The sequence below is a fragment of the Homo sapiens genome, chromosome 17 (genome assembly GCF_000001405.40).
Source record: "Homo sapiens chromosome 17, GRCh38.p14 Primary Assembly".
In the NCBI taxonomy this organism is placed as follows: Eukaryota; Metazoa; Chordata; class Mammalia; order Primates; family Hominidae; genus Homo; species Homo sapiens.
Window position 1 is genome coordinate 58,594,669 of NC_000017.11, and position 16,818 is coordinate 58,611,486.

A 16,818-nucleotide genomic window follows, 5' to 3' on the forward strand; every position below is an offset into this window, starting at 1 on the left:
ACTTATCCATAAAGTAAGACCTTGTACTTATCCATAAAATAAGAATGATAATACCTACCACTGGGGATGCTATGAAAATAAAACAGAATACAATAAAGGTTACAATACTTAGGAAACAGCAAAAGTAAAACAAATGAAAGTCTGTGCTCTTTATTCAAGAGACTATTAGCTCTACTTATCCCAATTTTAACATAATTTTAACAAACTTAGTTAATTATATTTCCTAGCCTACAGCAAATTAAGGCAACAAATATGGAGTTTGAGATGGGAGCAAGATGTGTAAAAGTGAGAAGGAGGCACAAAAAATTACTACATGCTCCCTGAAGTATAAGATCCAGAGGCCTTTGTATGGGCAAACACTCCTTAGCAGAAGCTTAAGACAGCCCTATATCATGATGCTTCACCATAACAGGTGTTCAGAAAAATACCACTGTCACCAAGAAAAGGTTAGAATATGTTTAGAATATAATCAAAATAGATATTTAGAATATCATGAAGTTTGTAACGTTTTCATTCAATATAATTAAAATTTTAAGAACTAAGAAATTAAAGAAATAAACTTCAATTGTCTGAAAAATGCATTTAGATGGAGATGGCTTTTTCCCTGATGCTAGAAAAAGAGGGTGATGTTTTTAAGGAAAAAATAAATATGGTATCATTGTTTTATATCCTATGTACTAGTAGATTGTTTCCAGCAGTGGCCGCCATCAATTCCCTCCTGTCCACCCTGCCACGCCTCCTATAAGGAGCTAGAGTCTATTTCCCCACCCAGTGAATCTGGGCTGGCCTCGTGAATTTCTTCGATCAACAGAAAGCAGCGAAAGTGATACAATCCTAGGGTCAGGACTAACTTTTAAGAGGTCTGGTGGTTTTAGCTTTCACTTGCAAAGTCAGCTGCTATGCTGTAGAGAAGCTTGGGTGAGACTATTTATTGAATGACAAGTCAAGTGCAAAGAGAGGCCACCTGGAGGAGCTCAAGGTACCAGACATGTAAGTAGAGGCTTCTTGGACCTTCTTGCCCAGTCCAACCTCCAGCTGACTGCAAACAACTGAGTGATGCTAGCCAATGGCCATGTGGAACAGAAGATCCACTCAGGTGAACCTGTCAAATTCCTGACCCACAGAATTGTGAGAAATAATAAACTATTGTTATTTTAAGCCATTAGGTTTTGGGCTTTGTTGTTGTTGCTACGCAGCAATAGATAACAAAATATAATATATAAAAGTTATTTCAGGCCGGGCGCGGTCGCTCACACCTGTAATCCCAACACTTTGGGAGGCCAAGGTGGGCGGATCACAAGGTCAGGAGTTTGAGACCAGCCTGGCCAATATGGTAAAACCCCCTCTCTACTAAAAATACAAAAATTAGCCGGGCATGGTGGTGCGCACCTGTAGTCCCAGCTACTCGGGAGGCTGAGGCAGAAGAATCGCTTGAACCCGGGAGGTGGAAGTTGCAGTGAGCTGAGATGGTGCCACTGCACTCCACCCTGGGTGACAGAGCAAGATTCTGTCTTTAAAAATTTAAAAAAAAAAAAGTGATTTCTAACAGTTTTCTAGCAAACTCTAATTTTCTATGGAAACAGAAATATTAGGATATAAGTAAATTCTTTGTGCCTTTTTTGTTTGTTTTTGAGACAGGGTCTCACTCTGTTGCCTGTGCTAGAGTGCTGTCACATGATTTCAGCTCACTGTAATCTCAACTTCCTGAGCTCAGGTGATCCTCCCACTTCAGCCTCCCAAGTAGCTGGGACTACAGGCACACGCCACCATGCCCAGCTAATTTTGATATCTTTTGTAGAAACAGGGTTTCGTTATGTTGCCCAGGCTGGTCTTGAACTCCTGGGCTCAAGCGATTAACCTGCCTTGGCCTCCCAAAGTGCTGGAATAAACCACTGCACCTGGCTGTGTCTTCTCTTTATATAAAAACAAATGACAGCTGGGCATGGTGGCTCTTGCCTGTAATCCCACACTTTTGGAGGCCAAGGCGGGTGGATTGCTTGAGCTCAAGAGTTTGAGAGCAGCCTGGGCAACATAGTGAAACCCCATCTCTATGGAAAAAAAAAAAAAGATAAAGAAATAAATACCAGCCGGGCGTGCTGAGACCCCATCTCTACAATTCACAAAATTAGCCAGGTGTGCTGATACAGCCTGTAGTCCCACCTACTCAGGGGTCTGAGGCGGGAGGATCGCTTGAGTCCAGAAGATTGAGGCTGCAGTGAGCCATGACAGTGCCACTTCACTCCAGCAAAAATAAATGCCAATGCTTTTCCAAATGTTCTAAGTGAGGACTGAAGCCTCACTAAGATTCAGTATTGTACAATGAAAGAACAACAGACCAGGAGTCAGGAGACCTGCCCCTAACCAACTTGGCCCTTGGTTGTAGCACAGCAAGTTGAGAGGTGGCAGGGAGAGCTATCTTCCCTGTATAGGCAATAAAAGGGTGATATGGCCAGGCACGGTGGCTCATGCCTGTAATCCTAGCACTTTGGGAGGCTGAGGCAGGTGGATCACCTATGGTCAGGAGTTCAAGACCAGCTGGGCCAACATGGTGAAAACCTGTCTCTACTAAAAATACAAAAAATTAGCCAGGCATGGTGGCACGTGACTGTAGTCCCAGCTACTCGGGAGGCTGAGGCAGGAGAATCGCTTGAACCTGGGAGGCAGAGTTTGCAGTGAGCAGAGATCGTGCCACTGTACTCCGGCCTGGGCAACAGAGTGAGACCCTATCTCAAAATAAATAAAATAAAATAAAAAATAAAAAAGAGGATAACTCTTAAGCGGAGAATTCTAAAACAGTAACAAAACCCAGTAAAAGTTGGCCTGCTTTTTATCACCATGGGCCAGCTATTCTAAATAATATCAGTAATAACATCCGCCTTCCAATGAGGCAGACCTCTCCCACCCCACCCGCATCTTGACATCTCTGGGCCTCAGGAAGTTTATATCACTGGGCTTGAGCTTCACACTCTGTAAATTGACAGGGCTAATCCATGTCTAAGGGATCTTCCAACTCTAAAATTATAAAATTCAAGAGGCAGCCAGCTCTCTGAGTGTGAACTTGTTCAAATTCATTAATTCATTCATCCCCTCATTCCTTCACTGACTATTTACTGAGTTCCTTCTATGTACTGGTCACCATGCTAGGTGCTGGGACACAGGAGGAGTCAGATGTTGGCCCTGTCCTTAAGGAAACTCACGGAGGAGCCTCTCTGCAAGCTATACCTCCTAGCCAGCTCCCATGGTGTCTGCTCACCTCCTCTGAGGGGTTTTCTTTGATCCACCAGGTCCCTCAGTCCCCAGCTGTTATCTGAGCTACTTATGGGCAGAGTTTGTGGCTTATTCATCATCAGAACCCAGAGTCTAGGCCAGGCAAGGTGGCTCATGCCTGTAATCCCAACACTTTGGGAGGCCGAGGTGGGCAGATCACCTGAGGTCAGGAGTTCGAGACCAGCGGTGACCAACATGAAGAAACCCCATCTCTATTAAAAATACAAAATTAGCCAGGCATGGTGGCGCATGACTGTAATCCCACCTGCTAGGGAGGCTGAGGCAGGAGAATCACTTGAACCCCACAGGTGGAGGTTGTGGTGAGCCAAGATCACGCCACTGCACTCCAGCCTGGGCAACAGGAACAAAACTCTGTCTCCAAAAAAAAAAAAAAAAGAAAAAACCCAGAGTCTAGATAGCCTCTGGCTCTATAGCTGTTTGTTGAATGAGTGAATGAATGAATAGCAGCTTAGAATGGAGATTAATACCTATCCAAGATACTTTATTCAATAAGTTGAGCCATGCAAAATTGCCAATACTTGACCATTTTAACTAATAAAACAGAAATTTAATATGGTTCAATTTGATACATACGAATTTACAGAGAAGGACAATGGGCTGTGTGTTGGGTCTGAACTGGGAGACAGAGAGTATCTACGTTGGAATTCCACCATGGAGGACTGATTTCCCAAAGCTAAGAGCACCTTGCTATGAGTCAGTTGCATATATATGTCAGTCCCTCCACATAGGTTAGGGGCAACGTCAAACCCAGCCCTGGGGTCCTGCTTAGGATGCCCCTTCCTCCCACTCAGGTTACCTGATGGCTTATCTCTGACTGATCCCCAGTGTTTACTTTGGAGACTTGGGTGAAAGGTTTCCAGCCACAACCATTTCTTTTCCTGGATCTTTTGCCAAAATGTCCCCCTTGAAAGTCTCTTACCATTCTTGGAAATCTTGGTAGGGTTGGGTAGTTGCCACTGGTGTCTGGCTTCTGACCCCCTGAAAGCTGTAGGACAGGAGGAATATAGTTTAAAGATGGAGGGCCCACGGCCAGAGGTAACTTGTAGGCATTTGTAAACTCTCTTGAAGTGGCCCATAAAGACATGCGCTCTTCCTGTTCCTTCTGTTTCATCTCGACTTCATCTAATATCTGCTCGATATTCCTCAGCCTATCATCATTCTCGTGCATTATTGTCTGCATAATCTTTAGATCCAGCACACACTTACTGATGAGATACTCCTCAGTCGTGGACATGTTGTTCAAATTGCTCTTGGCTTCTCTGGTTGACTCAGGAAGGCTGAGTGAACTGAGTGAACCGTTTTGCCAGTCCCAGTCATCAAAAGAGTACTCTGTCTCAGCTTTTGAAGAGCTCTCATCCTCACTGCCAAAACAACACGCCTCTCTCTCCATCTTATCCAGCTCTTCTTCCATGGATTTCAGTTCATCTACCTGGTTAGGTCCGTCTGCCTCCAAAGATGAAGCAGCTCCTGGAGGCTCTTCTATGTCATCTTCCAAAATCAAGCAGCCTGAGTAGATCTCGTTGATTTCGAAACTGCAGAGGCTTGGCTGACCTGTGCTGGGGCTGCTGGCCTCTTCTGCCATAAATGGAGCAGGGCAAGGAGCATCTTGATTCTGAGTCTCCCTGGCCATCAGACATGGATCTGGGGCCTGAGGATCTAGTGTCCCCTCAGTGAATAAAGAGTGAACCCTTGGTGAATGAGGTTGACTGCCTATTGAAAAAAACAGCAAAATGCAACTCATTAAAATGAACATATTTGGCAGCTAAGCAGCCTTGGCTTGTTCAAGAGGCAAAGACTGTCAAAAAAAAAAAAAAAGTTTTTTATTTTCCCACCCCCTTCCCAGTTGTGGAAGACTACTGGATACACTCACAAAGGGTGAGGGAGTATGTGTCCCCTAGGGGAAAGCTCCTATTTTGACATGGAATGAGGCAGAAATTGTTGTCAGGGCAGGGGTCTAGCCATGGAGGAAATATTCTAAGCTTTATTGTGTGTCCAAACATGCATAACTGTCAGGACATGCAAATTAGAGGCCCCTGAATCTTGTTTTCTTTTGTTTTATAGAGATGGGGTCTTGCTGTGTTGCCCAGGTTGCTCTCAAACTCCTGGCTTTAAGTGATCCTCCCGTCTCACTCTCCCAAAGTGCTGGGATTACAGGTGTGAGCCACCGTGCCCAGCTCCCCTGAATCTTAAGGACCACGTTCATAGCCTTCTTTTCACACAAAAGAGTTTGACTATTTCTCAGTTAAAGTTATGCTCTTGGTGAGCATCTGATAACAGTAGCCTAGGGCCAGGCGTGGTGGTTCACGCCTGTAATCCCAACACTTTGGGAGGCCAGGGCGGGTGGATCACTTGAGGTCAGGAGTTCGAGTGGTCTCAAACCAACATGGTGACCAACATGGTGACCACCATGGCCTGACCAACATGGTGAAACCCCATCTCTACTAAATACAAAAAATTAGCCAGGCATGGTGGTGCATGCCTGTAGTCTCAGCTACTTGGGAGGCTGAGGCAGGAGAATCGCTTGAACCTGGGAGACAGAGGTTGCAGTAAACCGAGATTGCGCCATTGCACTCCAGTCTGGGCAAAAAGAGTGAAACTGTCTCAAAAAAAAAAAAAAAGTAGCCTAGATACCACCCAAGGAGCCATTACATTATGGGAGTAATGAAAAAACTAAAAAATTTATGCTAGGATTGACCACCCACCACCCCTGGTTTACAGGTGTACAGCTTACAGAGAATGGGACTAAGCTGTCAAAGTAATGAGGTTACAGGGCCACTCTGGAGGCCTCCAGCACTGCTGAAGGAGAGTCAGAGTGAATGGTCATTTGGCTGGAATTGGAAGGCCTGGGTTCCAGTTCTATAACAAGTTCTCTGTGATCCTGAGCAGGTTACAACCTCTCTGAACCTTAGTTTTCTCATCTGTAATATGAAGGCATTAAGCCTGATGACTGCAAGGTCCTTTCCAGTTCTAAATTCTAAGGTTTTCAAATGTACTAAAATGTAGTAAAATTGGTTGGGCAAAGTGGCTTATACCTGTAATCCAAGTGCTTTGGGAGGCGAAAGTGGGAGGACTGCTTGAGGCCAGGAGTTCAAGACCAACCTGAGCAACATAATGAGACCTCATCTCTAAAAAAAAAAAACTTTTTTAGGCCAGGTGTGGTGGCTCATGCCTGCAATCCCAGCACTTTGGGAGGACCAGGTGGGAGGATTGCTTGAGTTCAGGAGTTCAAGACCAGCCTGGGCAACATCGTGAGACCTTGTCTCTACTAAAAATTTAAAAAGTAAGGCTGGGCGCAGTGGCTCACACCTGTAATCCCAGCACTTTGGGAGGCCAAGGCGGGTGGATCACGAGGTCAGGAAATCGAGACCATCCTGGCCAACATGGTGAAACCCCGTCTCTACTAAAAATACAAAAAATTAGCTGGGCATGGTTGTGCGTGCCTGTAATCCCAGCTACTCAGGAGGCTGAGGCAGGAGAATTGCTTGAACCCGGGAGGCGGAGGTTGCAATGAGCCGAGACCCCACCATTGCACTCCAGCCTGGGCAACAGAGCAAGATTCCATCTCAAAAAAAAAAAAAAAGAAAAAAATTAGCCCAGCATGGTGGCACATGCCTGTAATCCCAGCTACTCAGGAGGCTGAGGCATGAGAATCACTTGAACCCAGGAAGTGGAGGTTGCAGTGAGCTGAGAGCATGCCACTGTACTCCAGTCTGGGCAATAGAGCTAGACTTTATCTCACAAAACAAACAAGTTACATCTACAGTTTAGAGGAGTCAATTAGTTGCAGCTCATGTGACTCTCAGAACACATTTGTGTCAAACTAACACAACCTGTGAATTAAGGCCATACCCATTTCCTTTAGTTCTATGATTTCCATGTCAGGTGTCTCTCTGGGGTGTTCTGAAGTCAGTCCTAGATAGACATTGACATCGGGATGGAGTCCGTATCTCTGCACTCTGGGGCTCTCGGTTGGTTGAGTTCTCTGGGCTCCAGTAAAATCCTGTAACACAGGAAATATTGTCAAGGACATAGTCTCAGTCATCCTGAATGTCACTGGTGCTTTAGAAACCATCTAAGTATCTGATAAACTCCCTCTTATTCCTGTTGGGTAGACTGACTTTAGTCCTAATTAACTAGTTTATTGTTATTGCCAATACCTTAAAAGCAATAATAATAGCTACCATTCACTGAATCTCCACTAAGTGCCTACAGGGTGCCCCTACTATGCATATGTGTTGAACCTCCCTAGCTCCCCTCCTCAATTCCATGCTGCTTTCACCAAGTTAAGCAGTTAGGCTATTATCAAGAACACAGAAATGGTGTAATAAAATGAGGATTTCCAAAATTTCTTACAACTTGGTCTCTAGCTTCATCTTGTCTCTAACTCCCTATTCTCCTGAGTTAGGTAAGCAGAAATAAACTCCCAACAACTTCAGGGCTTGCCTTTAAGTCATTCTTCAGAATATACCGGATATCTTGAAGGTTCATAGTTCGGTCTTTCTGCTTGACGTGGATGCCTGACTTAACAATATCATAGTAAGGTTTCGGAAGCCTGACATCAGCTTCTAAATAATTCCCCGAGACTACGGCTTTTTTAACAACTGAGCCATCTAAGCCCTTCCAGGGTATGTCATCTGTAAGGAAAAAGTCATACAAAAGAGTAAATTAGGAAACCAAAGAGTGGAGTGGGGGGAAAAGAAATCAGATGAAGCTGGGTAACCTTAGGCAAGTCACTTAACTTCTTTATTTTTTTTTCTAATCCACTGTACTTTAGAAACAATTCATTTCCTTATATATTAATTTCTCTCTGTAGAAAAACTACCCAGAGGGGCCGGGCGTGGTGGCTTACACCTGTAATCCCAGCACTTTGGGAGGCCGAGGCGGGTGGATCACAAGGTCAAGAGATCGAGACCGTCCTGGCCAACATGGTGAAATCCCCTCTCTACTAAAAATACAAAAATTAGCCAGGCGTGGTGGCGCACACCTGCAATCCCAGCCACTCAGGAGGCTAAGGCAGGAGAATCGCTTGAACCCGGGAGGCAGAGGTTGTAGTGAGCTGAGATTGCGCCACTGCACTCCAGCCTAGCAACAAAAACAGAAAACAAAAAAACAAAAAAAAACTACCTGGAAGGCCAATTCATAAGTGAGAAGCCACTTTACTCATTTACCAGAGAGATCACCGCCACAGAGATAGGAAACAATAGTGTCAGCAACATGTACACATGGGCTCCCCGCTGGCAGGGGAGCCCAATATTCATCTCATGTATATTGTCATTTTGCCTCTGGGACTGCAAACACCATAAAAAAGCAGCCCTTGGCCGGGCGTGGTGGCTCACGCCTGTAATCCTAGCACTTTGGGAGGCCGAGGTGGGTGGATCACCTGAGGTCAGAGGTTGAAACCAGCCTGGCCAACACAGTGAAATCCCATCCCTACTAAAAATACAAAAATTAGCTGGGTGTGGTGGCGAGCACATGTAATCTCAGCTACTCTGGGAGGCCGAGGCAGGAGAATCACTTGAACCCAGGAGGTGGAGGTTGCAGTGAGCTGAGATCGCGCCACTGCACTCCAGCCTGGGCAACAGAGTAAGACTCCATCTTAAAAAAAAAAAAAAAAAAAGCCTTGCACGTTGGCTCACGCCTGTAATCCCAGCACTTTAGGAGGCTGAGGTGGGCGGATCACGAGGTCAGGAGATCCAGACCATCCTGGCTAATACGGTGAAACCCCGTCTGTACTAAAAATAGAAAAAATTAGCCGGGCATGGTGGCACGCGCCTGTAGTCCCAGTTACTTGGGAGGCTGAGGCAGGAGAATCGCTTGAACCCGGGAGGCAGAAGTTGCAGTGAGCCAAGATCCCGCCACTGCACTTCAGCCTGGGCAACAGAGTGAGACTCTGTCAAAAAAAAAAAAAAGCAGCCCTTAATGTGATTTTACTGTGTGTGTGTGTGTGTGTGTGTGTGTGTGTGTGTGTGTGTGTGTGTGTGTGTGTGTGTCTTTCTTTTGAAGGATTCCTTCCATCTTCAGATATGTGACTACTTTCTCCACATCAGAGCAGTGGATTTGGAAGTACATCCATTTCTTTCAAGTGACACTGTTTATACATCTAATGGACACAGGGTGTGTTTCATAGTTTACTTCTCAGAGGCTAGTCTTTCCCCCTAATTTACAAGTTCTCAAGGGATACCACACATAGATCATAAGTACTGATACCAATATTCAGGTTAAAAAGTTTGCTTCGGCCGGGCGTGGTGGCTCACACCTGTAATCTCAGCACTTCAGGAGGCCGAGGTGGGTAGATCACAAGGTCAAGCGATCGAGACCAGCCTGGCCAATATGGTAAAACCCCGTCTCTACTAAAAATGCAAAAATCAGTTGGGCGTGGTGGTGTGCACCTGTAGTCCCAGCTACTCGGGAGGCTGAGGCAGAAGAATCGCTTGGACCCGGGAGGCAGAGGTTGCAGTAAACCGAGATCGAGCCACTGCACTCCAGCCTGGGTGTCAGAGCAAGACTCTGTCTCAAAAAAAATAAAAAATAAAAATAAAAATAAATTTTTTTAGTGTGGATTAAATGCATCATCACTGACAAGCAGATGGATGGGCTTTGCTGAGTCTTTTTTTTTTCTTTTGAGACAGAGTCTCACTCTGTCACCCAGGCTGGAGTGCAGTGGCGCTATCTCAGCTCACTGCAACCTCTGCCTCCCAGGTTCAAGTGATTTTCCTGCCTCAGCCTCCCAAGTAGCTGGGACTACAGGCACGTGCCACCACGCCCAGCTAATTTTTGTATTTTTAGTAGAGACAGGGTTTCACCATTTTGGCCAGGCTCGTCTTGAACTCCTGACTTCAGGTGATCCACCCGCCTCAGCCTCCCAAAGTGCTGGGATTACAGGCGTGAGCCACTGCTCCCAGCCAAGAAGTCTCTTTTTAATAAGTCTTCTATTTTCATAAAAGTCAGTAACTCCTGTGGGGGGAGAAAAATGCAACCTAAGAATAGGGACTTTGGTCAACCATTAATGATCTTGATCTACCTGTTAAAATCTCCTGCATGATCATAGAAAAGCTGTAGATGTCTGATTTCACTGTGGCTGCCTTCTGTAAGATCACTTCTGGTGCGGCCCAGTTGTATAGCTGCGTAGGAAGGGGCACTCGAGTCAGGTCCCTCTGTACACCTCTGTCCTCGCTACGGAAGGAAACTCACAAGTCAGCGCTCATGCCTTAAAGGGTCTTTTATTCATTCATTCATTCATTCATTCTTTCATTCATTCAGAGTCTTGCCCTGTCACCCAGGCTGGAAAGCAGCAGCGTGATCTCAGCTCACTGCAACCTCTGCCACCTCCCGGGTTCAAGCGATTCTCCTGCCTCAGCCTCCCAAGTAGCTAGGATTACAGGTGTGTGTCACCAGGCCCGGCTAATTTTTGTATTTTAGTAGAGACGAGGTTTTGCCATGTTGGCCAGGCTCGTGGGTCTTTTAATCAACATACTACATTTGTGAAAACTTTGCCTCTGAAGGCTGACAACCTCTTTGAGTTCCTGGAAACCTAGCTAGACAATGAGCTAGTCCACACTGCTTCAGAGCTGTTCCAATACCTGCAATTCCTTACTATTCCACCCGGGCCCTCTCCACCACTTCATCTGGCAACTCTACTGCTCACCCACTCCACTCAAGTCACAGGGACCTTCTTTCAGTTCCTCCAACATACCTCATGTTCTTCAAGTCTTTGCACTGGCAGCTTCTGCCAGGCATGCTCTGCCCACAGATCCTAGAATGACTAGCTACTTTTTGTGACTGAGATATTTGTCTGAAAGTCACTTCCTCAAGGAGGCCCTCCCTGACTGCCTAATCTAAAGTAGTCCTGTTTTATTGGTTTCAGAGCACTTATTATCTGAATTTGTGTTCATTTAGTTTATCTGTCTCCCCTCCATTCTAGAGAGTCAGCTCCATGAGAGTAGGCAACTCATCTGCTTTTATATCACTGTACTTCTGGGCTTACACCAGGGCCTTGATGCTTGCTGTTGAATAAATGAACGTAAACTCTTTCAAGAGCCCTCTCAACCCCCATCTGCTTTATCAAAGCCATCTGGGACTTCCCCAACTCCTCATGATTATTTCTTTTCTGAACTCCTGCCCTTTTGGGAATGTGTCCTCTCAGTTTAGCACTCAAGGGTTCACTCATATGCTTAAATAACTCTTCCCAACCAGACTCCTTAAGAGCTAAGTCAGAGCATCCTAAATGTCTTCTGGCCCAGCAAGAGTCCTCAGGGTAAACTCAGCACTGACTTGTGCCCACAGCTGTCATGACAGTCAAATGAGATCATGGATGTAGAAACACTCGGTGAGCCATAAAGCGCTCTTTCATGTAAAGAATTAGTATGAATATTATGGGAGGCATTCAGTCAAGACTTAATGACTGGCAGTTGATAATTAAGAATTAAGTTTTTAAAAAGCAAGTGACAGCAAGTTTTTTGTTGGTCTGGAAAAAGGATAGATTTTAGACGATGAGATGGGCTTCTCAGACTTTGAGCAAACTTCCCTAAATAAAGTTTCTTCCAGCAAATCTTTGGATAGAGGGCAGTGAGTTCATGAAGTCATGAAGGTGAAAAAGCTAGTATTGACTTTAGTTATATTGCTGAAAAGTCACCTATGGCCTAGTATAGTGTGAACAGTGTGGATATGCATACAAATTTAATACATAATTATATATTGAACCCAGGAGGCAGAGGTTGCAGTGCGCCAAGACTGAGCCACTGCACTCCAGCCTGGGTAACAGAGTGAGACTCCATCTTAAAAAAAAAAAGGGCCAGGAGCAGTGGCTCATGCCTGTAATCCCAGCACTTTAGGAGGCCGAGGCGGGTGGATCACTTGAGGTCAGGAATTCAAGACCAGCCTGGCCAACATGGTGAAACCCCATCTCTACTAAAAACACAAAAATTAGCTGGGCATGGTGGCACGTGCCTGTAATGCCAGCTACTCAGGAGGCTGAGGCAGAATTGCTTGAATCCGGGAGGCAGAGGTTGCTGTGAGCCGAGATCGCACCACTGCATTCCAGACTGGGCTACTGTCTCAAAAAAAAAAAAAAAAAAAAAAAAGGAAGGAGCTGAAGGTAGGAGAAACTGCTGTATCACTTTTATACCAAGAGATGGAATGCTATCCTTGACAATGACATTCAACAAACTGATATGCCCTAGTAGAGTGTTACCAAAAATAAATGTGGGATTGAAGGCTACTTTGGGTTGGTGAATAATCAACTCATGTTACCAGCTTTCAAAGAAGGGTATGTTGTTACACCTGCAACGGCTTGCTGTCTAACATTTCTGACACTTCTACCTGAGGTTCCATCCTGAGGTCATTCCTAGACATTCACAGACCCTTGGTTACCTCCTACCCCCTCACTTGGCCAGTTGTTGACCCCAGCAACTCCATGCATTTCACTTTATTCCCTCCCATTTTGGCTTCATGGTCACCACTAGGCCCTGTCTCATGGTCTCATGGCTGGTGTTCCTGTCAACCTCCAATCCATCCTGCCCCTGTATCCTGGAGACATCCTCTACTATCTGTTTAGCCCCATCTGTGTCTCTAACCAATCAATTGGGTAACTTCACACCATTGCTTCACCCCTGGGTGCCTCAGTTTCCTCAACTATATAAGGACAGCATTGGGCTGGGCCATCTCCAAAGCTCCATTTCGGGCTAGGATTCACATTTCTATTGGTGAGCAAAAGGAGAAGAAACTGTGGTACCTTTCTCTCAATAGCAGATGGCGATCCATCACTGACAAAAGTGCACACCCTTTAGCGTCCACTGCTCCTGAACACATAGCCAGAGAGGTCAACCCTGCTCTGAACCATTTTAAGTTTTTCCTTCAACTAGATCATCCAATCATTTAAGAAACATTTACCGGCCAGCCGTAGTGGCTCATGCCTGTAATCCCAGTACTTTGGGAGGCCAAGGCAGGAGGACTGCCTGAGCCCAGGAGATTGAGATTGTAGTGAGCCACTGTACTATGGCCTGGGCAAAAGAGAGAGATCCTGTGTCCCCCACCCACAGAAAAGAAGGCTGGGTGTGGTGGCTCACACTTGTAATCCAAGCACTTTGGGAGGCCAGGTCGGGCAGATCGCATGAGTCCAGGAGTTCAAGTCCAGCCTGGGCAACATGGCGTGACCTTATCTCTATAAAAAATACAAAAATTGGCTGGGCGCAGGGGCTCACGCCTGTATTCCCAGCACTTTGGGAGGCTGAGGCGGGTGGATCACAAGGTCAGGAGTTCAAGACCATCCTGGCCAACATGGTGAAACCCCATCTCTACTAAAAATACAAAAAATTAGCCGGGTATGGTGGCGGGTGCCTGTAGTCCTGGCTACTTGGGAGGCTGAGGCAGGAGAATGGCGAGAACCCAGGAGGCGGAGCTTGTAGTGAGCCGAGATCGTGCCACTGCACTCCAGCCTGGGCAACAGAGCGAGACTCCATCTCAAAAAAAAAAAAAAAATTAGCTGGATGTGGTGGCATGTGCCTGTAGTCCCAGCTACTCAGGAAGCTGAGGTAGGAAGATCGCTTGACGCTGGGAGGTTGCAGTGAGCCGAGATCGTGCCACTGCACTCCAGCCTGGGCGACAGAGCAAGATCTTGTCTCAAAAAAATAAAAAATATTTACTGAGCACTTACCATAAGTGGCAGGCCCAGAGCTGGTGATGAACTCCCCATCTGGTGGCACAGACACACTTGTATAAAAATGACTGTGGTACATTTGCGTGACGCATGTGAGAAGAGGAATATGCAAAGTGCCTCAGGGTATGAGAGCATCAGTATAGACTTCACAGAGAGTGTTGGGAGACTGTGTCTGAAGTGACTTTAAAAGGCTAAATTGGCGTGTGCCAGGTATTCCAGATGCAGAGAGCAGTGTAGTAAAAGTGCCTTCAAATGGTCAGGAGGGAGCAGGGCAGTTAGGAGATTGACACTACAAGTGGAGCCTCACTTAGGGAGGCTTCTGCTCCCTGAAAATGGGTCTGGACTTAATCTTGCAGGCAATAAGGAGACCCTGAAAGCTTTTAACTCAGATTAAAAATGGACCAGATGAGAAAGTGAGCAGTTCAACTAGTGACAGTTATCTGGCCTCTGCCTGTTCCCATCTAGAAAAGTGTCATGGCTCCGGTCATACCCTAACGGCTCCCCTGCTTTTTTTCTTGAGACAGAGTCTCGCTCTGTCGCCCAGGCTGGAGTGCAGTGGCGTGATCTTGGCTCACTGCAAGCTCCACCTCCCAGGTTCACGCCATTCTCCTGCCTCAGCCTCCCGAGTAGCCGGGACTACAGGCGCCTGCCACCACGCCCGGCTAATTTTTTGTATTTTTAGTAGAGACGGGGTTTCACCGTGTTAGCCAGGATGGTCTCGATTTCCTGACCTCATGATCCACCCGTCTCGGCCTCCCAAAGTGCTGGGATTACAGGCATGCGCCACCACGCCTGGCTAATTTTGTATTTTTAGTAGAGATGGGGTTTCTCAATGTTGGTCAGGCTGGTATTGAACTCCCAACCTCAGGTGATCCGCATGCCTCAGCTTCCTAAAGTGCTGGAATTATAGGCATGAGCCACCATGCCCAGCCTAGAGGAAGGATCTTAACCTAAAAATCATCCATGACCCTATACTGTTCAAAAATGCCTATCCTAAGAACACAGCATCCCAGTGTTCTTAAGATAAAATTCAGACTCCTCACCAGGGCCCACAAGGCCAAGCACAACCTGACCTCTGCCTCCTCTCCATGCAGAGGGACAAAAGGCACTCCAGGTCTGGGGAAGTGAGAGCCTTTTTATATCATTTGTTCAAAAAACATATGCTGAGTGCACATACGCAAAGGCCTGTTCTGGGCATTTGAGATATAGCAGTAAATAAAACAGAAATCCCTGCCTCATGTAGCTTTTCATCTTTGAGAGAAGTTACAGAGTATGTGACAAACAAAGATCTGGTGAGAGACCAGAAACAAAGCATCAGTGATGGGTAGGTGGCAGACAAGGGTAAGAGGAAGTAGGTGGGTCTAGGCAAGGGGTCTGCCCAGTGGCTGAGGCCTCACAGAAGAGCAGAACCAATACTGGCCCAAAGGCTCAGAGCTGTGGATGGCAGTAAGGAAGCGCAGGGGAGAGCCTCTGCCTCTCAAAGCTTGGGGGCTCTCAGGAAGACTTTGACTCTTGCCAACAGGAAACAAAGCCCACTTACCAACTCCTGAATTTTGACTGCCTCTCTCACTGTGCTGAGCCCCTTGAGGGCAGAGAATGCCCTCCATATCTATCCAGGCCAGTGCCTGGCCCAGATGTAGGAGGTGTGACAGGCCATTAGGCTCATCAGCACCCATCACCTTCTCTCCTTCCAGGATGCACAGGTAAGGCACAGCTCAGCTTCCCTCCAGTAGAAGGTAACTGGGCTCTGGCCACTGCAATGTGGGAGGCAGTAACATACCCATTTCAGACTGGCCCCAAACCCCACTGTGTCCCCTCCATGTTCTTTCTTGCTTGCTGACTGGCAGTGCAAAGAATGCAGTGGGGGATCAAGGCCTGAAAGGTGGTGAAGCTACAGATTGGAGTGACAGGGAACACTGTCCCTGCCTCCAACACAGATTGGATTGCAATGTGAGCGAGAAATACACCTTGTTGTGTTAAAAGCTGCTCAAAGGGCCAGGCGCAGTGGATCACACCTGTAATCCTAGCACTTTGGGAGGCCGAAGTGGGCGGATCACCTGAGGTCGGGAGTTTGAGACCAGCCTGGCCAACATGGTGAAACTGCATCTCTACTAAAAACACAAAAATTAGCCAGGCGTGGTGGTGAGCACCTGTAACCCCAGCTACTCAGGAGGCTGAGGCAAGAGAATCGCTTGAACCCAGGAGGCGGAGGTTGCAGTGAGCCGAGATTGTGCCACTGCATTCCAGCCTGGGCAAGAGGGCAAGACTCCGTCAAAAAAAAAAAAGCCGCTGAAAATTTTGGAATGGATAATTATAGCATTTATGCACATTGGCTAATACGAGCTCTTACTTGTTAAATGTTTATTAAAATGTCTCCAAATTCCTCTAGCCTTGGCAGACAGGGTAAGGCATTTGGGACAGGTTCAGCAACTGATGAACAGGTTCATCTCACCAATGAGGAGTCCCACCCAGATCAGATTCTGTCTCTATAGGAAGGGTCCCCAAGGGAGATCAACTTCAGGAGAAAGTCCCACTCCATGTTATGCCCACCTTTCCAACATGTACTCCAGGTTGGTCAGCCTCGCTTCACCTGGGGAGATGATATGGACAGCATAGGAGCTGAGGGAGCGGTGGATAAACCCCTGGAAATGCAGGTATCTCAGGGCATCAGATATCTGGAGCAGCAGGTGCACAATCACCTCCATGTGCAGCACTGGGAACTGGGACCGCTGCAAGCAAGAGATGAAATGCCACGAAAAAAAAAAGGACTGGGGCCCTGACACTGTAGAGCATTTTGTGATTTCCAGTCTTTCCATATGATCCTCATGGTTACCAAGGATCCCCATTTTACAGATGGAGAACCTAAAGCTCAGTGA

At 46.6% G+C, this 16,818-nt stretch overlaps 1 protein-coding gene across 3 annotated transcripts in view, besides 1 other annotated feature; it reads right to left on the reverse strand.

Moving 5' to 3' along the window:
• Positions 1-16,818, reverse strand: part of TEX14 (testis expressed 14, intercellular bridge forming factor) — a 135,368-nt gene that overhangs the window by 37,991 nt on the left and 80,559 nt on the right. For all 3 annotated transcript variants that reach the window (NM_031272.5, NM_198393.4, NM_001201457.2), the window contains exons 10-14: positions 16,493-16,671; positions 10,310-10,461; positions 7,732-7,922; positions 7,138-7,288; positions 4,208-4,998 (exon numbers count right to left, since the gene is read on the reverse strand). In NM_031272.5, the coding sequence (NP_112562.3) occupies positions 4,208-4,998; positions 7,138-7,288; positions 7,732-7,922; positions 10,310-10,461; positions 16,493-16,671 (1,464 nt within the window). The remainder of the gene's footprint in view (positions 1-4,207; positions 4,999-7,137; positions 7,289-7,731; positions 7,923-10,309; positions 10,462-16,492; positions 16,672-16,818) is intronic.
• Positions 845-894: a silencer, noted in NCBI's record as "silent region_8774". NCBI's record gives its function as "represses an Ori minimal core promoter by ATAC-STARR-seq in GM12878 lymphoblastoid cells {active_cell/tissue: GM12878}" and the evidence as "EXISTENCE:reporter gene assay evidence [ECO:0000049][PMID:35858748]".